At 45.7% G+C, this 25,295-nt stretch overlaps 1 protein-coding gene and 1 non-coding gene across 2 annotated transcripts in view, besides 1 other annotated feature; one reads left to right on the forward strand and one right to left on the reverse strand.

Annotated features, from left to right (window-relative positions):
* CACNG3 (calcium voltage-gated channel auxiliary subunit gamma 3) overlaps positions 1-25,295 on the forward strand; it is a 106,078-nt gene that overhangs the window by 69,167 nt on the left and 11,616 nt on the right. The window contains exon 2 of the mRNA NM_006539.4: positions 21,233-21,316. Coding sequence (NP_006530.1) covers positions 21,233-21,316 — 84 coding nt within the window. The remainder of the gene's footprint in view (positions 1-21,232; positions 21,317-25,295) is intronic.
* Positions 7,914-8,046, reverse strand: LOC124900377 (small nucleolar RNA SNORA1). The gene has a single exon (XR_007065226.1). It is a non-coding gene; the product is annotated as a small nucleolar RNA SNORA1 (small nucleolar RNA).
* Positions 18,031-18,532: an enhancer, noted in NCBI's record as "H3K27ac hESC enhancer chr16:24354853-24355354 (GRCh37/hg19 assembly coordinates)". NCBI's record gives its function as "activates a minimal SCP1, AML or CMV promoter by ChIP-STARR-seq in primed H9 embryonic stem cells {active_cell/tissue: H9 hESC(primed)}" and the evidence as "EXISTENCE:reporter gene assay evidence [ECO:0000049][PMID:30033119]".

The following is a 25,295-nucleotide window of genomic DNA, read 5'->3' on the forward strand; positions in this document are numbered from 1 at the left end:
CGTACATCAGCTGGAATGCATTGCTGAGCGCAAGCCCCGCCAACCCCAGCGAGCTCTGCGGCTGGGAGAAGGTGCCCAGTACTGTTATGCAGCACGGGCTGGTGATTCACAGTTTATGAGCCGCCTCATACCCATCACTTTGATGCTCACAACAAGCCCGACAGGTAGGAAAAGTAGAGTTTATGAGCTTCTTTTCACAACTGTGGAAACCAAGATCACAAATGGTAATAATGTGAGTTGCTCAGGTTTGCAGAGCAGGCATGGAGGCAAAGCTGGGACTGGGAGACTATTACATGGTTAGAGCTTAATAAATGGTAGGTGCTGCTGTTCCAAACAGGTGAGGACTCTCAGTTTGTGAGGACTCTCAGTTGCAAAGTACAGAAATCCATTTCAAATAAGCGTAAGCAGCCACATAAGCTATTGGCTGATGGAACTGAAATACCCAAGGTTTACCTGTTTCAAGCATGGCTGGAGCCAGGGACTCAAATGATATTAGCAAGATTCAGATGGTCAACACCTCTCAGCTCTATTCTGAAATCTCTGCCTTGATTTCACCCTCAAGCTTGCTGTCTCCAACGTGGGGGGGTTGGGGGCTTGGCAACTGTAGCCCCAGCCCACTAGCTTAGCCACTCAATGGAAAATAACATTTTTCTTTTTTGTTTTTTCTTTTTTCTTTTTTTTTTTTTTGAGATGGAGTTTCGCTCTTGTTGCCCAGACTAGAGTGCAATGGCACAACCTCTGCTCACCACAACCTCCGCCTCCTAGGTTCAAGCAATTTTCCTCCCTCAGCCTCCCGAGTAGCTGGGATTACAGGCATGCGCCAGTAGGCCCGGCTCATTTTGTATTTTTAGTAGAGACAGGGTTTCTCCATGTTGGTCAGGATGGTCTCGAATTCCCGACCTCAGGTGATCCGCCCGCCTCGGCCTCCCAAAGTGCTGGGATTACAGGCATGAGCCACCACACCCGGCCAAAATTTTTCTTTCTCAACATTTCTAACCAATGTTCCAAGACTATCTTCACTGGACAAACTTGGTCACTTGCCCTCCCCTGAACCAATCACGCCAATCAAGGTGGTGAGACATGTTGATTGGCCAGATCTGGGTCATGTGCTCACCCTCTTAGCCAACCACTGTAGCCAGGAGAATTTAGAATTCTGATTGGCCAGGACTGAATCACATGCCCACTTCTGAAACTGACAATGGAGTCACCCTATGCTCACCTCACTCTCTGCACAGGCTGAAGAGGGAGAGAAGGCATTCCCTACAGTGGAATGAAGGTAGCCTTACCAGTGGAAGGGAGAATGGAAGCTCCTCTGGCAGCTAGAACAGATGTTCCCTCCAGATGCCTGGTACAGACCAGTAACCTTAGCCCCTTGACCAGAGAAACACGCCATGATCTCGCTCCCCTGCCACCTGATCCTGAACCAGTCTAGCTAATGACGCTAACTGGAGGCTCCAGGCTCGAGGCTCAGGCCAGAAACAGAGGCTGGCCTCTCCCTGCTAATGGCAGCAGGTGATGGGGATGAAGGAGGTGGCGGTAAATGTGATGGTAGCCTGGCTTCCTCCTCATGCAGAGAGGTGGAGTCCTAAGTCTCTAAGGAGTGGCCAAGGCAGGGGCTCCAAACCAAAAAAAAAAAAAAAAAAAAAAAAAAAGCCATAGCAATGAGAGAAGGAAGAGGAAAAGAAGACTTGGGCTCAGAGAGGCTCTGGAATAAAAGGAGAGTCTCAGGCAGTGAAGAGATGCCAATAAACAAAGCTTAAAGGACAGTTCATCCAGGCTGGGTGCTGTGACTGATGCCTGTAATCCCAGCACTTTGGGAGGGCAAAGTGAGAGGATCACTTGAGCCCTCACTTCGAACTCCTCACCAGGAGTTCGAAAGCAGCCTGGGCAAAATAAGAACTTGTTTCTACGAATATATATATGTGTGTGTGTGTGTGTATATATATATATATATACACACACACACACACACACACATATACTATGAATATATACATATATATATATATGGGGGGGCTGAGGTTGGGGGGATCGTTTGAGCTCAGGAGTTAAAGGATGCAGTGAGCTATGATTGTACCGCTGCACTCCAGCCTCAGTGACATAGTGAGAACCTGTCTCAAAAAAAACAAAAACAAAACAAAACAAAACAAAAAAAACAGGCCGGGTGCAGTGGCTCATGCCTGTAATCCCAATGCTTTGGGGGGCTGAGACAGGAGGATCGCTTGAGGCCAAGAGTTCAAGGCCAGCCTGGGCAACATAGTGAGACCACATCTCTACAAAAAATGAAAACAGTAATGGAGCATAGTGGTGAGCAACTGTAGTCCCAGCTACATGGGAGGCTGAGGCAGGAAAATCACTTGAGCCCAGGAGTTTGAGGCTGCAGTGAGCTATGATCATGCCACTGCACTCCTGAGTGTCACAGAAAGACCTTGTCTCAGACAACAAACAAAGTAAAAACAATTCAGACATGAAGGAAATACGCAGTACTCATCCCATACATTCATTTGTCCACTTGTTTATTTAACAACCTACTATGTGCCAGGTCCTGGGAAGACAGTGGTGAGCAAGACAGAGATGCTCTTGGGATTTACAATAGAGAGGAATAAACAGACACATCATTAAACTCATAATTAATCCTTTGTAATATGTGCCTGAAAGAGAAGCACAGGGTGTGGTGCTGTGAGGGCAGATTATTGGATGGCATCAGCCTGGGGACATATTTTTGGTAAGATCTGAAGCCCAGATAGAAATTACTCAAATGCAGGATGGAGAGGGAGAAATAATTGAGGCTGAGGGTGCTCGTGCAAAGGCCCTGAGGCAGGAAAGATAAAACAAAGCCTGTGCAGCAGAAATTTGGTGAGAAAGATCTGGAGAGGGGCTGGGGCCACATCACAGAGGATCTCGTAGGCCAGGTTAAGGACTTTTGTCACCATCCAACAAGAAGTTGCCCAAGATACCTGCAGACATATACAAAGGACAGTCTGATGTTCAGGGCACAGTTATAAAGCACCTACTGTGTATCAGATTGGGTGCAGGATATTTGGGATTCAGTGGTGCTTATAGTCTAGGAAATAAGAAGTCAGAAAATAAACTAGGCAATAAATATAAACAAGATATTTCGCATACTCACGGATCATCGTAAGCTTAGCAAAGAAAGTGACTGGAGATGTTCAAGTGAGGTGAGGACCTGACGGCCCCGTGAAGGGCTGGGAGAAAGTGGTCCAGGCAGAAAGAGCATCAGCTGCAAAGGCCTGGCAGCCATAAGACATGTACTCACCAGTGCACCCACACAGAGTCACATCCACAGGCGGGCATCGTGTGCCCATTTACATTCCTTGCTCTTCCAAAATGCGTCTGCGTCCACCTCTGATAACCTGGGATGCCCTCCACTCTCACCCCGACTTCATCACATACACACATACACCCTTTCGTAGGCTCACCCCACTCAGAGACAGCCCCCGCCACACCCCCATCATATGGCAACTAGCAAAGATCCTAAGGGCTGAGTGGGCAGGGAGAATGGGGATCTGGGGGAGGAGACACCGCCCTGTTTCCCTTCTTCACCCAAGAAGCCTGGGGGCAGCTCAGATTCGAGCAGGGGTGGGGGAACCACCAGGATGTCCATGCAAGTTGGAGGGAGGCGTCCAGGTCTTTACCTTGCAGAACTAAATCCCAGTGTGGTGTTTGCTCAAAACGCCAGAACTATTCCTGGATGTCAGGTGCAGTTAATGGTTGCCGTGGCAACCACCCATGCTTAATGAATAGAAGAGAGTAAAAGATGCCCCGGATAAATGTCAGGGCCCGGGATGGATTTGCTTGGGAGCAAATCTGTTAGTGCTGGGCAGAGCTGACCAGCGAAGGTTGAAATAAGCAGTCCAGGGTAGCTGGAGACAGATCCAGGAGGCTCTCTTCTCTTTCTCAGCTTAACATAGTCAGAATGCTAACGTTTCACAAAATGTCAAAAAGTGTGGCTCTTTATACAGACAGTTAAACATAGGCTCCAGTTTTGCAGGTTTGATTCTGCACATGTTTATGTAGTTTGCAGGGAACAGAAATCCAAGCCCAGGTCTCTCAGGAGTTGAGACGTCACTCTTTGTTTTTTTTCTTTAACTCTTCCTGCATTACCTTTTTTAATGAAGAAAGTGTCACATTAGGGTCAAAAATAATATTTTAAACTCTGAACCTCTACACATTATATTGTCATTGTGCTATTTACATGCTGCTTACAGGATTAGAAAACAACTGGTAGTGGCTGGGCCACAGTGGCTCACGCCTGTAATCCCAACACTTTGGGAGGCCAAGGCAGGTGGATTACTTGAGGTCAGGAGTTTGAGACCAGCCTGGCCAACATGGTGAAATCTGTCTCTACTAAAAAAATACAAAAATTAGCTGGGCATGATGGCATGCACCTGTAATTCCAGCTACTTGGGAGGCTGAGGCACGAGAATCTCTTGAACCACAGAGGATGGAGGTTGCAGTGAGCTGAGATTGAGCTACTGCACTCCAGCCTGGGCAACAGAGTGAGACTGTGTCTCAAAAAAAAAGAAAAAATAAAAGAAAAGAAACAACTGGTAGTGTCTGGTAATGAGACATAAGTTAAATGCCACGCAATGAGCATCCCTCACATCTGCTGGAGCATCCCAGTGACCATGTGCGTAGCTGCATTAGGGAACCATGTCAAACTCTGTTGGCCCATGAAAGTGAAGCCCAAGTCCAAGGTACAGACCAGCTCTGCACTCGCAGCTGCAGTCAAGGACTCAGGACTCACCATGGCTGTGATGCTTGCTTGTAGGGAGACCTCAGATCAGTCTCAGAAGGCCTCAATCCCAAATCTTCTAAGAGGAAATAACCCTCCCCACAAACCTTCCACATCCCCAAACCTATCTTGCCTATCCTCCAGGCAGGGTCTCAAATACTCCCTGAGGGCAAGTTTTTTGTGAGGTTATGACAATACTGTGTGTCCATCTGACGACAGAGGCTGGAGCACCTCCTGAGGTCACAGCACTGCTCTCAGCCTCTGCTATGCATCAGAATCTTGGAGAAACCTGTTCAAAAACACAGGTTCTCAAAGCCTCTAATTCAGGGCATTGTGTAGGTAGGTGCCCAGGAATGCACTTGTTGGTTTGTTTTAAGAAGAGCCCAGGTGATTCTCATGCAAGTGGACTCAATTTTTCCAGGCACCTCTGAAAGAGAGATGTCACCAGTTAAAAAGCAGCTAAGACCCAGGACACTTGTTCTCTTCAACCCTTCTCCCCAGAAGCTCCAGAAGCCTCTGTGGTCTGGAAACAGGATGAGTTCTTCATGCTTTTGAATGCCTGCCAAGGTAGGGTTAAGAAGACTTTCAGACACTCTAAACAGTGAAATGATCAGGGTGACCACCCTACCCTCACAGATCTCCAGTGTTAGTAATACTAAGCTGTTAAGTAAGGAAGATCAACACACATCTGGTTTTTTTCCATTGCATTTCAATGGTTTTTGTAAACATCAAATATCAAATAATTTATAGTTGTCATTCTCTCTGTCTCTCTCTCTCTCTGTACCCCTGCTTTGCTGGTACCCCAAACACATGACTATTCTACCTAATTGGTGACTCCTACAGCAGTGCCTACAAAGTTTCAAGGTACTGTGTTGGTGAACATGCCCTGTGGTCTAGGCTAGGAAGGGCTGGGCTCTTGGCTCTGAGGTCCAGGACTAACCAGAATCAAAACCCTCAATAACCAAATAATGAAGGACCAAGGAAAACAGTTCACTCTAAACCTCCCAAACACATTCAATGGGCCGATCAAGCAAAGAGCTCAAAACCAGGCTCTTTAGAAATGAAGCAAGCCTATTCATCATGTGCAGAAATGGACAGGTAGCAAGGACTGTCATTCCTCATTAAATTTCCCATACTCTGTTTTAAGGCAGTACCCTCTCTCGAAGAGGCATACCTCTGTGGACTCTGGCTTGATCACTGTTCCACCCCCATCACCAGTGGCTTCTCCAAAAGGCCCAAGGTCACTTTCAATGATTCCTCTAAGATGCACTTTCATTCCTGCTCCTCCACAAGTTCCTAGCATGCAAAGAGATTTCTTACACTGTAAATCAGATTGTGTTTCTCATGTGCTGAAAACCCTCCAAAGCCTGGACCATACATGCTCCTTTTCAGTTCTGGACCCTGGCCTGTAAGAAGCTCGGTGATGTGTGCCTGCTCCTTCATGGGCCTGATCTCATCCCACTTTCCCCCTCACTCATTCTGCTCCAGTTGCCCTGAGCTTGTCTTGGTTCTAGAAACACACTAAAGTGCCATACTTCCCCAAGGCCTTGGCACTTGCAGTTTCCTCTGCCTGGAAGGCTCTTCCCTCAAATCTTCCCATGGGTGGCTTCCTCTTGTCACTCAGGTTGACTGCTCAGATAGGCCCTTTCTGTCCACCCAATCTCACGACTGTCCTCCCCCACCCCAATCACATTCTCTCCAGGGTTTATTATTTTCATGGAACTTACCACTGAAATTATCTTTTCCTTTTTAGTGATGCATTTGTTTCATTTATTTCTTTGTTTACGCTAGATCTCTCTCTGGTAGAATATAACAGCCTGGTCTATTTTGTTCACTGATAAATTTCAAGTGCTGGAAACAGTGCTTAACACAAGCAACCTAGGTGCCTCTCCAGATATCTATTGAACAAAAGAATGAATCAGGGACCGGGTGCAATGGCTCATGCCTATAATTGCAGCATTTTGGGAGGCTAAGGTGGCAGACCAATTGAGGCCAGAAGTTTGAGACCAACTGGACAACATAGTGAGACTCCATCTCTACAAAAGTAAAATAAAAAGATTAGCCAAGGGCGATGACATGCACCTGCAGCTCCAGCTACTTGGTAGGCTGCAGTGGGAGGATCACCTGAGCCTGGGAGATTGGAGCTGCAGTGAGCCATGATTGTGCCACTGCCCTTCAGCCTGGGCAACAGAGCAAGACCCTGTCTCAAAAAAAAAAAAAAAGAATGAGAAAAGAATAAATCAGGATGTGCATCAACCACAGTTCTTTACACCAGAAGAAAATGTTTATTTCTCAGTAACTGACTCGTTGTTCTCTTATTAGAAGCGGTAATTTGTAATTGCTATACCCTAAGTGCTTCATCTTGATCAGGGGCCAAGCTCAGCTCAGGGTCCTTGTTACTATGAATTCATTATCCAAATCCCTGTGTGCGCAAGGTTGCACGGACAGGCAAGTAAACTCTGTCTTAATATGAATATGTGCATTCATGACCGGACCAGTTATAAAATCATTCCCTACACAGGCACCCCCTCCCTACTCCACTCCACACCCCTGCCCCATTTAACACTCTGCAATTCGCGGTTTTTGTCTGACAGCCTGGTTCTGATTGCCAGCTCTTGTCAACACGTGACAAAACAACGAAAATAGGAGGCAAAACGTGATGTGTTAACCACGGGTAGACAAGAGCCTGCTGGAGGGACACAAGCTAACAATGGAAGAAGAGAAAATTGACAAGAATGATGATGTGATAGACACATCCAATGATTTGAATATCAAAGGATTAACAGGAGCCCTTAGGAAAACTGATGACAGGCTCAAATATTGCTTGCAAAAATGACCCATTTTATGATCCTGCTGTGAAAGTCAAACTTTATGATCTTGTCAGGGAAGGGAAAGATTTCATACTGGACTACCACGCAATTTTATCAGAAAAATTATGCATGCCCCAACCCTGCCACTCCGAAATCAACAAAGCTTACTTTTTTTGTTTACCCTAGTACATAGTTAAAGAAGATCAGAAAAAAATCAGCATGTTTTCCTGAATTATAATTTCATTTTCAGATAAAGTTGGAAGCATGTTTTCGGACTTGATTGTTTACTATGAATAGGAGGCCCTGGGTTTTTTTTCTTTTATTTTATTCTCTTAAAAAAATTTTCAAAGTGTTACAGGTCTCATTGTCACCACTGCAATACATATACTCTTATGGAAGCATAACCTGTGTTTCAATTTAGCCACTTACAATTTTCAGACACCATGATCGACAGTGCCCATTCTCATCTAGAAAGAGGCTTTAGTCCCTATTTTTGAGTGGACTCACCTGAAGGCTGTGGTCCTTGACCTTAGCTGCACAGTTAATCACCCAAGGAGCTTTGAAAAATCCACAACCTGGGCAACATAGCAAGACCCTATCTCTACAAAAAAAAATAATTTAAAAATTAGCCGGGTATGGTGGCGTGCACCTGTAATCCTAGCTACTCAGGAGGCTAAGGTAGGAGGATTTCTTGAGCCCAGTAGTTTGAGGCTGCAGTGAGCTATGATTGTGCCACTGCACTCCAGTCTGGTGACAGAGCAAGACCCTATCTCTCAAAAAGAAAGGAAGGGGAGAGGAGAGGAGAGGACAGGAGAGGAATTCAGATGCCCAGATAAAGTAAGAATCCCTGGGAGCAGAACCCCAGCCTCAGCATTTTTCAAGCTTCCCTTCCCAAAGTAATTCCAATGTGAACCAGTGTTGAGAATCACTGTTGTAAGGCATCTTTATTCTCAGATAATAAAGATCTGTTGTAACAACAGGGGCCCAAACATTCTTAATCAAGGGCTTAACCCAAGTACTCAGGAAGCATAAACACAAATGATATTTGCTCTTCCTTCCTGATATCATAAAGCAAAAATCTTCACAAAAGAGTTCTAGCAAAAGACCTACAACGCTGGACCCTAGGTTCCTGTTGGCCTCTGTTTTGAGCTCTAAGCTGGGCTTTTGGGGGCCTGGAATGTGGTTGCACTGGCTGGACTCATGCTGAGATGGATGTCAAGCTCTGGCTACAGAATTGGCCCTGTTTATGGGTTGGAGCAGGTTCCAGGCACTGTGGCTGGGCTAGGTGGGCTGGTGAGGAGTGCCAGCCCTCACTCTGAGCACATCATGACTGTCCAGAGCCTGCTCTGAAGTGATGTCTCTCTGTTAGATTCGTGGATTCACAGCCACCAAAATCTGCCCCAGGACCCTCCGTGTGGGCTGTGCAGAGGAGATGGATGTGAGAAGACCATCAAGAGGCTCTACTGATATCCTCTCCTTCCACTGGAGGGGGGACATCCTGGGGAAACCTGTCTCCACTCCCCATTTAGGATCTCCCTTCAGGACTGCAAACTTGGAAAGATTGGGCCTTGGATGATAGTCTCACTTCCCCAGGCCTCTCTGCTCTGGATCCAGTATTTCTTGACTTGAAGTCAGATCCACTAAATTCAGAGCTGTCTTTGAATGACCCAGAAAGCTCTGTCTGGCCTTTGGCCAAAATTGGCATGGCAGGTTGGTCTAGGTCTATTCCCTCCCGGGAGTGATGGTTCCTGGGGCTCCTTGCCTGGGTTAGCGCTCTGTGAGAATACACACGCATGCATGCACCCACATGCACAGGTCTGCACATGTGTACCCATGTCTGGGTGAGGGCAGGATGAAGAAGGCCATACCCTCCAATTTCCCATTGGTTTCCTCTCACCCCCATGCCCAAAATAGAGATAATGATATTAATAACTGCCCCCTGTTAACCCTCTTCCCAGTGCTTGGCACTATGTTAGTGCTATTTAGAGGATTTTGCAAGAGCTCAGGGTCTAGGGTTAGACAGACCTTGGTTTTATGACTCAGCTTCCCCTTCTATAAAAGTATTTATTGGGCCAGGCACAGTGGCTCACACCTGTAATCCCAGCGCTTTGGGAGGCTGAGGCAGGCAGATCACCTGAGGTCAGGAGTTCAAGACCAGCCTGGCCAACATGGTGAAACGCTGTCTGTACTAAAAATATAAAAATTAGCTGGGCGTGGTGGCGGGCACCTGTAATCTCAGCTACTCAGGAGGCTGAGGCATGAGAATCGCTTGAACCTGGGAGGCAGAAGTTGCAGTGAGCCAAGATCGCGCCACTGCACTCCATTCTGGATAACAGAGCAAGACTCCATCTCAAATACATACATACATACATACATACATAAAATAAAATAAACATATTTATTGAATGGACATCCACATACATACTTCCCATGTGCTAAGCATTGCTCTAATGCACTTGACGAACACTGACTTTTCTATTCCTACTGTTATTCTCAGCTTTCAAAGGAGGAAACTGAGGCACTTTTAAGTTAAGCAACTTGCAGAGCTGGGATTCAAACCCGCTCATTCTGGCTCCAAAATCCATGCTCCTCAGCTCATCCTATGACCAACAATAGTGCCTGCTTCATGGGATTGTGAGGAATACCCAAAGAGCCCTTACCCAAGGCCTGACAGAGCACATCTCAACAAACATGGATACTATGATGATTTCTTTTGAAACCCCCAACAGGCTGGGTGGTGGCTCACGCCTGTAATCTCAGACTTTGAGAGGCCAAGGCAGGCAGATCACTTGAGGCCAGGAGTTGGAGACCAGCCTAGCCAACATGGTGAAACCTTGTCTCTACTAAAAATACCAAAAAATAAAAAACAAAAAAAAAATCCGCCTGCCTCGGCCTCCCAAAGTGCTGGGATTACAGGCGTCAGCCACTGTGCCCGGCCCAATAAATACTTTTAGAAAAGGGGAAACTGAGTCATAAAACCAAGGTCTGCCTAACCCTAGGCCCTGAGCTCTTGCAATTTTGGTGGCATGCACCTGTAGTCCCAGCTACTCGGGAGGCAGAGGCAGGAGAATCGCTTGACCCTGGGAGGCGGAGGTTGCAGTGAGCCGAGATTGCACCACTGCACTCCAGCCTGGGCAGCAGAGTAACACTCTGTCTCCAAAAAAAAGAAAGAAAGAAAGAAACCCCAGCAATCTGGAGATCACTGGCATTTTTTTTTTTTTTGAGACGGAGTCTCGCTCTGTCTCCCAGGCTGGACTGTAGTGGCGTGATCTCAGCTCACTGCAAGCTCTGCCTCCCAGGTTCACGCCATTCTCCGGCCTCAGCCTCCCGAGTAGCAGGGACTATAGGCGCCCGCCACTACACCCGGCTAATTTTGTTTTTGTATTTTTAGTAAAGGCGGGGTTTCACCGTGTCAGCCAGGATGGTCTCGATATCCTGACCCTGTGATCTGCCTGCCTCAGCCTCCCAAAATGCTGGGATTACAGGCGTGAGCCACTGTGCCCAGCCAATCATTAACATTTTCTAACTGAGGAGATCAAGTCCAGGCACTGTGACTCATACCTATAATCCTAGTATAGGTATGATCCTGGGAAGAAAGAGAACAAGAGAGCTCTCTGGAGTTTCTTTTATAAGGACACTAATCCCATTCATGAGGGCCCCACCCTCGTGACCTAATTATGTCCCAGCAGGCCCCACTCCTAATACCATCATTGTAGGCATTAGGATTTTCTTTTTTGTTGTTGTTGTTGTTTTGTTTTGTTTTGTTATATAGAGTCTTCCTCTGTCACCTAAGCTGGAGTGTAGTGGTGTGATCATAGCTCACTGCAGCCTCAATCTCCCAGACGCAAGTGATCCTCCCACCTTGGCTTTCTGAGCATCTGGGACTCTAGGTGTGTGCCACCATGTCCAGTTAATTTCTAAACTTTTTGTAGAGAGGGGTCTTGCCATGTTGCTTAGGCTAGTCTTGAACTCCTGGGCTCAATAGATCCTCCTGCCTTGGCCTCCAAAAGTGCTGGGATTACAGGTGTGAGCCACCATGCCCTGCAGGCATTAGGATTTCAAGATAGGAATCTTGAGAGGACGTGAGCATTCAGTCCATTGCACAAGGCCATACAAGTAGTAACTTAGTGGCTGGCCAAGGATTCAAACTGAAAGCTTGCGTTCCTACCAGTATACCACACTACCCCTCTAGAGGTCAGATAGGCACCTGCTGAAGAAGAAGCAGCCGATTTCTCCCCCAGATTGCAACCATCTGACTTACTTGTAAAAATCCACAGACAAGCAGCCTTATACCCCTTTGTGATTGCTGGTGACCACTTCCCAGGATCAGGCTGGGGCCCACGCTGCTGAGATCTGAAAGGAAACACTCAAAATAGGGACTCTGAGCCCCTTTTCAGCTCAAGTACCTGGGAAGCACCACTTTCTCCAGAGACAGATGACAAGGGCTTTAAGAGTTAAACATACAGGCCAGGTCCATGGTGGCTCACATCTGTAATCCCAGCTCTTAGGGAGGCAGAGGCAGGAGGATAGCTTGAGCTCAAGAGTTTGAGACCTGCCTGGGCAATGTAGTGAGATCCCATTGTTAATAATAATAATAATAATAATAATTTTTAAATTAAAAAATAGTTAAAAATACAAACATCCCATTTCTAGATTCCCTCCCCATTCCTGCATGTTTGGAAGCCACCCAGAACCAAGTCAGTTCTTTCAGTTACCCCAAATCTGGTGGTCTCAAGGTTACTCCCTACCCTAAGAAAGAGTTGGGGCTGACCTTGGTCCATGTCCATGTGCAACTCAACCTCCTAGATTTTCCAGAGGTTGAGTTGCACATGGACATGGGCAACTGAAGGGACATGGAGAGCTAAAGGGACAGCTAGAAGGGCAGCTGATGGACCCAGTGATCCCTGTGCTGAAAAGACAGCTGGAAGGGCAGCTGATGGACCCAGTGATCCCTGTGCTGAAAAGACAGCTGGAAGGGCAGCTGATGGACCCAGTGAAACCACCGCAATAGGCCTTCTTTTTTCCTACTAGCCTCTCTTCTGTTCCTCAAACTCACCAAGTTCACTCTCGCCCCAGGGTCTTTGCATTTCCATTTCCTTCTACCTGGAAAGCTCTTTCCTGGACTCTTCATATAACTGGCTCCTTCTCTTTTTTCAGGTCTGAGCTCAAGTGTCCCTTCTGCAACAACCCTATCCAATGTTGCCCTCCACTTGCCCCCACCCAATGAAGAGTTGCTATCACATCATCCTGTTTTGTATCTTTCTTGGTTTTTTGTTTTTGTTTGTTTGTTTTTTGAGACAGAGTCTCGCTCTGTCACCCAGGCTGGAGTGCAGTGGCAAGATCTCGGCTCACTGCAACCTCTGCCTTCTGGGTTCAAGTTATTCTCCTGCCTCAGCCTCCCGAGTAGCTGGGATTATAGGCACGCACCATCATGCCCAGCTTATTTTTGTATTTTTTAGTAGAGACAGGGTTTTACCATGTTGGTCAGGATGGTCTCGAACCCTTGACCTCAAGTGATCTGCCTGCCTCGGCCTCCCAAAGTGCTGGGATTACAGGCATGAGCCACCATGCCCAGCCCCAGTGTTTTGTATCTTTCAAAGCTCGGTTATATTGTCTATAGTCTCTCTCCTCAGTGAGAATGCAAGTTCTGAGGATCAAGACCGTCTCTGTCTTGGGCATTAGGGAATCCCTAGGACCTAAAACCAGTCTTCACAACCCAGTTCTCACACTTACCTTCCCCGGTTCCCATCACCCCTCTCCTTTCACCTGTACCCACTGGATCTGTCCTCCAGACCGTTAATCCTCTAAACACCTTGAGCTACTTTGAGTTCCCAAATGAGTTTTTCTCTTGTTCATTCTCTCATCATCACACATGCTATTCCCTCTGCTTTGAGAAACACGCCTCCCTTCCTCTGATTAACTTCTCATTAACCTTCAGGTCTCAGCTTAGACATAATTTCACTCCACGTGCAGTTAACAAAAATTATTCTGCTGAGTTATCAGGTGAGAGAATTTTTGGTGGTGGGGAAAGCACTTTTAATCCCTCCATACTGTTTTAATTCTCTATGTACATCTATTCTTTTTAATTTAAAAGGGATTAACTGAATAAAGGGTAATGGACTGTTTCTTGTTTTCTTTGTATTATTTCTCTGTATTGAAAAAATATCATAGTAAATGTGATTTTAAAATGCCAGTACCACAATGACTTAATTATTACAGCTTTATTGTATGGCTTAATATCATGTAAGAAACCACCTCACTGAGCTCTTTCATTCATTCTACTGTGTTTTCTCAGCTAATTGCCTTCAGCTGCTTCTTCCTTTTTTTTTTTTTTCTGAGCTGGGGTCTTGCTGTCTCACTCAAGCTGGAGTGCAGTGGTGCCATCTCAGCTCACTGCAATCTACGCCTCCCAGGTTAGACAGATTCTCCTGCTTCGGCACCCTGAGTATCTGGGACTATAGGTGCCCGCCACCACGCCCAGCTAATTTTTGTATTTTTAGTAAAGACGGGGTTTCACCATGCTGGCCAGGCTGGCCTCGAACTCCAGACCTCAGGTGATCCACCGGCCTCAGCCTCCCAAAGTGCTAGAATTACAGGCGTGAGCCACTGCACCCGGCCTACTTTCAGCTACTTAAGTAGACTAATTCTATCACCTGGAAAAATTGTAATTTTACTCCATTTTTTTTCTGTTGCTTATAACTCTTAATTCTGTTTTATTCCTTCTTGTGCTAGAATTTGTCAAACCATAACAAATAATCGAGGCAATGATGGGCATTCTTATCTCAGTCCTGATTTCAGTAGGAAAATTTCAAGGGTTTGACCTTTAAGAAAAAGTGTCAGAAGTTACAGCTAGAAGGGAGGAATACATTCTAATATCCTATAACACTGTAGGGTGAATATGGTTAACAATAACTTAGTGTGGCCAGGTGTGGTGGTTCACACCTGTAATCCCAGCACTTTTGCAGGCCTAGGTGGGAAGATTGCTTGAGTCCAGCAGTTCAAGATCTGCCTGAGCAACATGGCAAGACCCCCATCTCTACAAAAAATATAAAAATTGGCTGGTTGTGGTGGTGCACACCTCTAGTCCCAGCTACATGGGAGGCTGAGGTGGGAGGATCGCTTGAACCCAGGAGTTCAAGATCGTGAACATGACGAGACCCCATCTCTACAAAAATATAAAAACTAGCCTAGGTGTGGCAGTGCATACCTGTAGTTCCAGCTATAGGAGGCTGAGGTAGGAGGATCACTTGAGCCCAAAACGTCGAGGCTTCAGTGAGCCATAAGCATGACACTGCTCTCCAGACTGGGCAACAGAGCGAGACCCCGTCTCAAAATAAATAAATAAAATAATTTAGTGTACCTTTTCCAAAAGCTAAAAGAGATAGATTTGCCAATTACCTTGATTTGATCATTATTCGTTATATACGTGTATCAAAGTATCACTCTGTATCCCATAAATATGTACGATTGTTACATGTCAACTAAAAAGGAACAGAAAAAGAAAAAAAGAGTATCCGCTTAAGGACAGCACCCCTCCTCATGTGAAGGAAGTACTTTTCCATTGTCTGAACCAGAGACGAACTATTAGTACAATCTTCTCTCCCCAGGATGAAGCTGTGGCCACCAAAAAGCCAGTCTCTACAACTGCACTTCAACACCTCCGGAAATCTCTTTTGGCTCTGTCTTTCTCTCCAAACCTCTTCCCGGGGTCCTGGGGTCTATGAATTCTCAGGGCCCGGCTCTCACACATGCCCTTCGCTGGGCTCCTGTCCTCCGTCACCTGGGCTCCTGTCCTCCCTCACCTGTAACCACCGGATCCGTCACCCAGACCAAACGCCATTGATCTTTTTCCTGCTTTAGCTTCTACCTCTCTCTGCTCCAATGCCTGAACTTAAAGCTGTGCTCTTCTCTGCATCCTGACTTCATCCTTGCAGTCTGCATGTTTTCACCATCTCTCTTGGTTCCATCTTCTACAGTGGGTGGGCAAGTCCAATCTCATTCTACTTTTCTAAGATTTACTGATATGGGAGGATACTCCTAAGAAAATATAAGTGAGAAGAACAGCACGATCCCAGTTTTGTAAAGCCATTTGTGTGCGAAAGCACAGGGGAAAAAAAGCCTGGAAGGAAATATACAAAAATGCTAAATAGTGGTTATTTCTGGGAGCCAGCAATATGCTACTTACATGAATGTCCAAGCTCACTTTGTGATGCATGTATGACATGGGTTGCCAGCAGATTCATTTTCAGTGTGGAGTCTTCCTTGGGGAAAATTCTTGATTCCTTTTCCTTCTATATTGCTTCTTAAAATCTCACCATGGCGCCAATGTGTCTCTTGTGATCCTAAAGTACCTACCAAAACCAACGGTAATAATAGCTGTAATATACTGAGTTCCTACCATACTCCAGGAACTGTACTAAGTGCTTTATGTCATTGCCTAATTAAAAGATTTATGTGTAAAGTGCTGAGAACAGCAACTGGCGTAATAACTGCTATTACTGCCTCAACTAATTCTCATGGCAACTCCATGAAGTTACTATTATTATCTTCATTCTGTAGAAGAAGGAACTGAGGTTTGGAGAGGTAATTTGCCATAGATACCACAACTAGTAAGTGGCTGAGTCAGGATTCATGCCTACGTGGGACACCAAAGACTGGGCTCTTACTAAATACATTTTGGTTCGGGGGTTGCAAACTCAAATATCTACAGGGCCAGGCAAGAATATAGAGCCAGGTGGGGACTTTGGCCAACTGGAGAGTTTACACCCAGTCTAAAGAGGGCTGCTGATGTCAGCTACGTCATCCAGGGATTCATTACTCCCGCATGGAAATGTGAGACAGAGGTCCCCATTTTTGAAGAGAAACTGCGAATCAGTTTTTAATGTGAAATATTCAGAATTTTAAATTGCAGCAGCATAGGCCAGGAGCGGTGGCTCACGCCTGTCATCCCAGCGCTTTGGGAGGCTGCAGCAGGCGGATCACCTGAGGTCAGGAGTTCAAGACCAGCCTGGCCAACATGGTGAAACCCTGTCTCTACTAAAAATACAAAAATCAGCCGGGCATGGTGGCACGCGCCTGTAATCCCAGCTACTCAGGAGGCTGAGGCAGGAGAATCACTTGAACCCAGGAGGTGGAGGTTGCAGTAAGCTAAGATTGCACCACTGCACTCCAGCCTGGGTGACAAAGCAAGACTCCATCTCAAAATAAAATAAAATAAAAATAAAATAAAATGCAGAAGCTTACTTAATTTTTAAAAATAAAATGTGCAAAAGAGTATTGCAGGTAAAACAAACACACACAGATTAAACCACAAAATGAAACAGTCTGCAACCCAGATTTGCGCCAGAAGCCAATATTATCTACTTTAGAAACACCAGCCTAGATTACATCTTCTATCCCAGGAAGGCCCAAACTCCCCTTTGCTTTCCATTTTTGCCTTCTTGGGACAGAAATCTTTAAACCGGGGACCAGCAAAATTGTTGTTAAACAGCCAGAGAGTAAATATTTTCAGCTTTGCTATCTCTGTGGCAAATACTGAACTCTGTTATAGTGGCATCAACATGTTTTATTTTCTTTTGTTCTCAAAATGGCTTCATGAGGAGCCTAATGTTATAATGAGGAAATTGAAGCAATATAAACAAATGGGCACGATTGTGTTTCAATAAAATTTTATTTTCCGACGCTGAAATCTGAATTTCACATTTTTTTGCAGGTCACAAATAATATTCTTTCGATTTTTTTTTCAACTATCTAAATATGCAAAAACCATTCTTGGCTCATGGGCTGTACAAACGTGGGTAGTAGTAAGCTGCTTTAGACCATTAAAAACTGGTGACTGCAGGCCAGGCGCAGTGGCTCACCCCTGTAATCCCAGCACTTCAGGAGGCTGAGGCAGGTGGATCAGCTGAGGCCAGGAGTTCAAGACCAGCCTGGACAATATGGCAAAACCCTTTCTCTACTAAAAATAAAAAATTAGCTGGGCATAGTGGTGCATGCCTGTAGTCCCAGCTACTTGGGAGGCTGAGGCAGGAGAATCGCTTGAACTGGGGAGGCGGAGGTTGCAGTGGGCTATGATTACACCATTGCACTCCAGCCTGGGTGACAAGAGCGAAACTCTGCCTAAAAAACAAACAAACAACAACAACAAAACTAGTGACTGCGTCTCCAGGAGCTACTGGCGTTTGCTGGTTCTAAGTCTTAGTTTCAAGCTGCCTGAAGTCACCATGAATAGGCCCATTTCACAAGCAGATGCCCACGTGTATGTAGTTCCGAATTCCCTCAGTAATTCTGACTGGTCTGTATTTAGTAAGGTTCCCATTCCATCTTCACCTGAACACTTTCTTCCTTTGAAATCTTTCGTGGAAAACAGCAAATAATGAGGAGTACGGAAATCAACTAACAATGGATGGTGTCACTACCAACACCCTTCCCCTGCCCAGGTGCCCCTGGGACATGCCATGGGGAAGCATAGTTAATGGAGAAGCCACTGGTCCAGTTCATTGCCAACATCAATAGTAGGGGGTAGGCTATAAAATGATCATGAAGCGACCAGGCAAAGAACTTAGTTCACAATACAGACTTGTTGAAGAGAGTGTAATTCATAATAGTAGTTAGGAACTTTGTCTTTGGGGTCAGCTGGTAAATGTCAAGCTGTGTCCTTGAGTAAATCGGTGACTTGGCTAAGCTTCAATTTCCTCCTCATATTAATAACATTGCCTCATTATAACATTAGGCATCTCAGGCCGGGCACAGTGGCTCACACCTGTAATCCCAGCACTTTGGGAGTCTGAGACGGGTAGATCAGGAGGTCAGGAGATCAAGACCATCCTGGCTAACACAGTGAAACCCCGTCTCTACTAGAAATACAAAAAATTAGCCAGGCATGGTGGCAGGCGCCTTTAATCCCAGCTACTCAGGCGGCTGAGGCAGGAGAATGGCGTGAGCAGAGCAAGCAGTGAGCCAAGATTGCGTCACTGCACTCCAGTCTGGGCGAGATTCCGTCTCAAAAAAATAATAAATAAATAACATTAGGCACCTCATAAAGTCATTTAGATAGCTAAAGAGGATAAAACACGTAAATGTGGCCAGGCGCAGTGGCTCACATCTGTAATCCCAGTGCTTTGGGAGGCTGAGGCGGGTGGTTCACCTGAGGTCAGGGGTTCAAGACCAGCCTGGCCAACATGGTGAAACCCTGTCTCTACTAAAAATACAAAAATTAGCCAGGCCTGGTGGTCGGGAGGCTGTGGCACAAGAATCGCTTGAACCTGGGAGGTGGAGGTTGCAGCGAGTTGAGATCGTGCCACTGCACTCCAACCTGGGCAATAGAGCAAGACTCAGTCTCAGAAAAAAAAAAAAAATGCATAAATGCTTAGAATGGTACCTGGTATATAGTAGGTGCACACGTGTGTTACTTATTATGATTTCTTATCCAGTCAACTGGAAGGGGATGGGGCTTAAAACCAAACAGGCATATATAAATGAAACTCTAAAATATGAACAAGCATGAATAAGGTCTTTTTTTCCCAATATCAGGGAAGAAATTATGGGTCTGTCTTTTTTCTAAGAATTTCCTTGAGTCTTCTCTCCTGAACCTCCTTCCTGGTTCTGAGTCTATTATTTGCCTGGTAAGCGGAGAATCAGAACCAAGGAGATGTTCTACATATCCCAAGGCATTTATTATGAAATGGCTCTGGCCTGGAGCCTACTTATAGTAGAAATTAAATATATGACACTCTTATTTTTATGAGATCATAATAGACATCATGATAGTAGCCATGGTAGCCATAATAATAACGGCTACTATTCATAGTGTAATGGTGAAACTACACAGCCTTTGAAACCTGGATCCAAAAATCAATTCCGTCACTCACCAGCTGTGACACCATCTCCTCTGTGATTTTCCATTGTCTCATTATCAAATGTTAATACTAATAGCCTCTACCTCCTGGGGTGGTAAACAAGGGTAAATGAGATAAGGGGTGTAAGGTTTCAGCTATGTGCCTGGCCAATTGGAAGCACTTAATAAGTGTCAGCCATTATTATGACATGCCTAGAGCTTTGCAAAAATTATCTCATGTTCATGTATAGCTTTATTTCATTCTTACAATAACAGTTCTGAAATACCAACGCAGCTCTGTCTGATTCCGAACCTTGTCCGTTTCCCACGACATCACAATGCCCGCCCCCCTGATTCCACTCCAGCTACACAGACAGGGAAAGGGACAAGAATGCATAATTTCTGGAAAATTTTTTGTCCTTTAAAAGAACTGGCAGAGCTATTAACTGCCCCCAGAGACTGGTTAACTGTCTAGTTAACTAACACCCAAAATGATGATTAAACATCCACACCTCAGCCGGGCAAGGTGGCTCACGCCTGTAATCCCAGCACATTGGGAGGCCGAGGCAGGTGGATCACCTGATGTCAGGAGTTCGAGATCAGCCTGGTCAACATGGTGAAACCCATCTCTCCTAAAAATACAAAAATTAGCCGGGCATGGTGGCAGGTGCCTGTAATCCCAGTTACTCGGGAGGCTGAGGCAGGATAATCTCTTGAACCCGGGAGGCAGAGGTTGCAGTGAGCCGAGATCGTGCCATTGCAATCCAAACTGGGCGACAAGAGAGAAACTCTGTCTCAAACAAAACAAAAAAGACAGCAAATGTGGACGGATGTTCAAGATGCATGTTCAGCAAATCTGAGGCTCCCAAAGGGGTGAACCTCATAGCGAGGGAGATGAGCTGTGATCCTTTGGGAGGGCAGAGAGGGAAAGGGAGTGTCCTGTGGTCAGATATGAACATCATTGGGGAGAGTGGACTATTCTGGAATGCCTGGACTCAGCTCTTGATTGGAATGCCGGTTCTATTTAGGTTGGTGCAAAAGTAATTGCACAACTGCACAATTACTTTTACATCAACCTAAATAGCTACTTACCTGAGTGATTTCAAGAAAAATTCTTAAGCCCTGTTTCCTCATTGGTAAAATGAGCGAAAAAAATGATGTACTTGAATTCTGCCTGCTTTTTCCTTCACTGACTGGAGGAGAGGGGAAAGATAAGATAGTCTTCATAATTAGTGTTTATGTTTCATGGTGTTTTTGCGCTTCTGAAGTGGATCCCAACATCATGCAAAATCTAAAAAGCAGCAAATTTCCATCTCCTGCTTTGTATTGTTTATCTTTTGCCTCTACTGGTCTCTTTTTTGTGCCCTAAAGAAACATGCTGTTGATGACTGATCCCGTTGGCTCATGCCTGTAATCCTAGCACTTTGGGAGGCTGAGGAAGGGAGGATCGCTTGTGGCCAGGAGTTTGAGGCCAGCCTGGGCAAGATAGTGAGACCTTTTGTTGTCACTATCAAAAAATGTTGAATTAGCCAGGCATAGTGGCACATGCCTATAGTCCCAGCTACTTGGGAGGCTGGGGTGAGAGGATCACTTGAGCCCAAGAGTTCAAGACTGCAGTGAGCCATGATTGCACCACTGCACTCCAGCCTGGGCCACAGAATGAGACCCTGTCTCTAATAAAAAATAAAGGTGCTCTTGGGCCTACCAGCCCAACAACCCTACAGCCCCCAACAACCAGAGAAAGGATCTGCACATAGCGGTGAGGACCCAGGCTGGCCCCCAGAGCTCTGTCTCCTCCCCCAGGCTCAGAACCCTTATCTGTTTCCACAGGGGCTTTCCGAGGCGTGTGCAAGAAAATCGATCACTTCCCTGAAGATGCTGACTACGAACAGGACACAGCCGAATATCTCCTGCGTAAGTTCCCCGGCTTCTCGGGTCTCTCTGGGAGGAAGGGATGGGCCTCTGCCATCACTCAGCTGCCTCTGAGTCGGAGCTTCCTCAGCATCTGTCCCTAGAAATAGATAAGTGCAAAGAAGCCCCATGTGCCAGTACACAGAGACACTCAAGTGGTTCTGAGAGCTAAGCCTCTTTAGTTTCAATGAATTAGAAACAGAAAGAAGAAGCAGGGGGTAGGGTGGGGGATGGTTCATGCCTGTAATCCCAGCACTCTGGGAGGCAGAGGCCAGAAAGGATCGCTTGAGCTCAGGAGGTCGAGATCAGCCTGGGCAATATAGCAAGAACCCATCTCTACAAAAAATTAAAAAATTAGCTGCATGTGGTGGCACACACCTGTAGTCCTAGCTACTCAGGAGGCTAAGGTGGGAGGATCATTTAAGCCCAGGGGATTGAGGCTGCAGTGAGCTATGATCATACCACTGCAGTCCAGCCTGGGTGACAGAGTGAGACCCTGTCTCTGAAAAGAAAGAGAAGGAGAAAGAAAAGGAGAATGAGAATGAGAAAGAGAAAGAGAAAGAGAAGGGAGGAAGGAAGGAAGGCAGGAAGGAAGACAGAAAAGTAGGTGAGTCAAAACTGAAAGGTTCTTTTTAGTCAGTTTAGGAGAAAAATCTAAGGAACTTTCTCTAACTTGAATGCAAGTTTTCACTTTCCCAGGAGGGTTGATTGGAGGTGCTAATGGCAGAGTGCTAATGGGTGATGTGAGGTGCTAATGGGTGAGGTCCCAAGGAGCAAGACCTAGGAGAATAAATACAAACCCAAGTTCACCTCTTCTTTGACTTCCCTCCAGTTTCAGTCCTACTGGGACAGAGCCAATGTCTCTGTAGGATTTTTCCAAAGTCAGTAACCTGGATATGACATGAACCGTCACAACTACAGCATGTAGGAGCCAAAAGAATGTGGTGGCTTTGAGCCAAGGCCTCTGGAATCTGGGCTTTGACCCTTGTTTGACTCTACTAGCTGGGTTGGACTTGAGGCAAGGGGCTTTACCTCTCTCTCTAGTTCCTACCTTTCTTCATTTTTTTCTGAAATGGAGATTATAATGTCATCCATCTGACAGGGTCACAAAAATTAGCCGGGGCCCAACACATAGTCAGGAGGCAATATGCATTAGCTCCCGTTTCTTGCATGGGATTAGCAATGCAAAATTCACTGCAGAGATGAGCCTTCCATTGGTCAAGGCACAGAGAGAACTTGATTTGGGATTTTAATGTAATTTCTTCAGCAAGAATTTGTGTTGGATTCACTCAAAATAGTGAGGCCAAGTGCAATGGCTCACACCTGTAATCTCAGCACTTTAGGAGGCCAAGGTGGGAGGATCACTTGAAGCCAGGAGTTCAAGACCAGTCTGGGCAACATATTAAGTCGCCAACTCTACAGAATTTTTTTTTTTTTAATTATCCAGGCATGGTAGTGCACACCCTTAGTCCCAGCTACTTGGGAGGCTGAGGTGGGAGGATTGCTTGAGCCCAGGAAGCTGAGGCTGCAGTGCCATTGCAGTGATCGTGCCATTGCATTGATTGTGCCATTGCGCTAATCAATAATATTGATTAGTGACTGGCTACACGGTGTGGAGGATAGTGTCAGATGCAGCATTATTAGGTTAATTTATGCTACTTGTGGCAAAAGCCAGCAATTTCAAGAGATGAGTACCCAGCTCAAAGAGGAGAGAAGGATGTGATCACTGTCTCATTGTAATGTCTCTCTGGGCCTGATAATTAAAAGGACTTGCGTTACTCAGATAAAAGTTGTTTTCTTTTCTCACCCCTCACATCAGCAGCTCAAAAAGATTCAGTGTGGAGAGCAAAATTAGCCACACTTAGAGATGTAGCTTAACCAAAATTTGGGAGATGACACAGATCACTTGCATCTTCTCAATAGAGAATGGCATTAGTCATCACCAGTGGGGTTTTACCAGAGTGCCCATAGATTTTCTTTGTTTTTCTTTTTCATGTTGATAAAACATGTTGACGTTTGCTCTGTCGGAGACTAAACAGAACTGTGACTTCTCTTCACAACTTGTATAGCTGATTTTAAGTTCTTCAGAGAGGCCCATAGCTTTTCTGACAAAGTATTTTTTTCTCGTCTGGGAAGATGTCCCTTCCTCTCTCCTCACCCCTAGCCCTCGGTCCACCTAAGCTTCACCAATAGCAGCAGAATTGGGCTAAGGTTAAGGAGAGGCCTTAATGAGAACACAGATTTCCTGCTGAGAGTTTTGGAATTCCTGATCCAGCCACGTAGGGCTGGGAGCACATTCCTGCAGGGTTCTCCCTGCCTGGCTGGTGTTCACTCTGCCTGCCGGTCCCTTTCCTGACCCACAACCCTGGTGGGAATGGGATTCTGCATATCGACTTTTCTGTTGTTTCTTCTTTTCTCCTATGCTCTTTGGGGTAGGCTACAGCATAAACCCATAGCAGTGTTACCGGAAAGGGGTCCAGATCCAGCCCCAAGACAGGGTTCTTGGATCTCACACAAGAAAGATTCAGGGTGAGTCCACAAAGTAGAGTGAAAGCAAGTTTATTAGAGAAGCAAAGAAACAAAAGAACGGCTACTGTATTGACAGAGCAGTGGCATGGACTGCTTGACCTAGTGTATTATAGTTACTTCTTGATTAATGGTAAACAGGAGGCGAATTATTCATAAGTTTTCCAGGAAAGGGGTAGGCGATTCCAGGAACTGAGGGTTCCTCCCACTTTAAGAACATAGGGTAACTTCTGACATTGCCATGGCATCTGTAAAGTGTCACGGCGCTGGCGAGAGTGTCTCTTCACATGCTAATGTATTATAATTAGCATATAATGAGCAGTGAGGACGACCAGAGGTCACTTTCATCACCATCTTGGTTTTGGCGGGTTTGGGCTGGCTTCTTCACTGCATCCTGTTTTACAGCAGAGTCTTTGTGACCTGTATCTTGTGTTGACCCCCTATCTCATCCTGTGCTTGGAAATGCAGCCCAGCAGGTCTCAGCTTCATTTCACCTATCCCCTATTCAAGATGGAGTCGCTCTGTTTCCAACGCCTCTGACAGCAGAAGGTTCAAAGCCCACAGGTTCTGTTGACTAGAGACTTCCACGACACAGCACTGGACTTAGAAAGTCCTATTCAGACTCCAATGGTGGGGCTACACTTGAACAAGCTTATGTCCCCACCCTTAAGACCTTAACTTAGCTCCATATAGTTTGGGGGGAGAAACAGGGAAGGAAGACAGTAAAAACCTCTTTGATCTGAAGCCACCATATGTCCACTGGGCTAAAACAAATGCAAGGTGGGCTTCCACTGACTTAGCAGAATATTTCCTGTCTGAGGCAGACACTTATAGCCAGAGTTGACAGAATCTGCTTGTATCTCATTTGAGGGGCAAAGAGTGGGGTCTCCCCACCAATGGTTCCCAAATGATGATTGCACCACTTGGGAAACAGTCACATTTACGTATCTCCTATCCACATGTTTCAAACATAAACTTTTTTTTTTTTTTTTGAGATGGGGTCTTACTCCATCATTCAGGCTGGAGTACAGTGGCATGATCATAGCTCACTGCACCCTCAAATTCCTAGGCTCAAGCCTCTTGAGCTGGGACTACAGGCACCCACCACCACCATGTCTGGCTAATTTCTTTTTACATTTTTTGTAGAGTTGGGGTCCCCCTGTGTTGCCCAGGCTGGTCTCAAACTCCTGTCCTCAAACAATCCACCTGCCTTTGCCTCCCAAAGTGCTGAGATTACAGGCGTGAGCCACTGTGCCAGGCCCAAATATCCATTTTTGTGTAACCAACACAGTTCAATAGCTTCAAACATTCAAATCATTTTCTTAGGGCACACATCAAAGGTTAATCATGCTTTGATTTTTTAAAAGGTATTCACTTTTTATTAATTACACTCATTACATTGAATACTCAAGCAATTCCTGTCAATATACAATGCAAATGATCCCTTTAAAGGTTA

This window comes from Homo sapiens, chromosome 16, assembly GCF_000001405.40.
Source record: "Homo sapiens chromosome 16, GRCh38.p14 Primary Assembly".
Classification (NCBI taxonomy): Eukaryota; Metazoa; Chordata; class Mammalia; order Primates; family Hominidae; genus Homo; species Homo sapiens.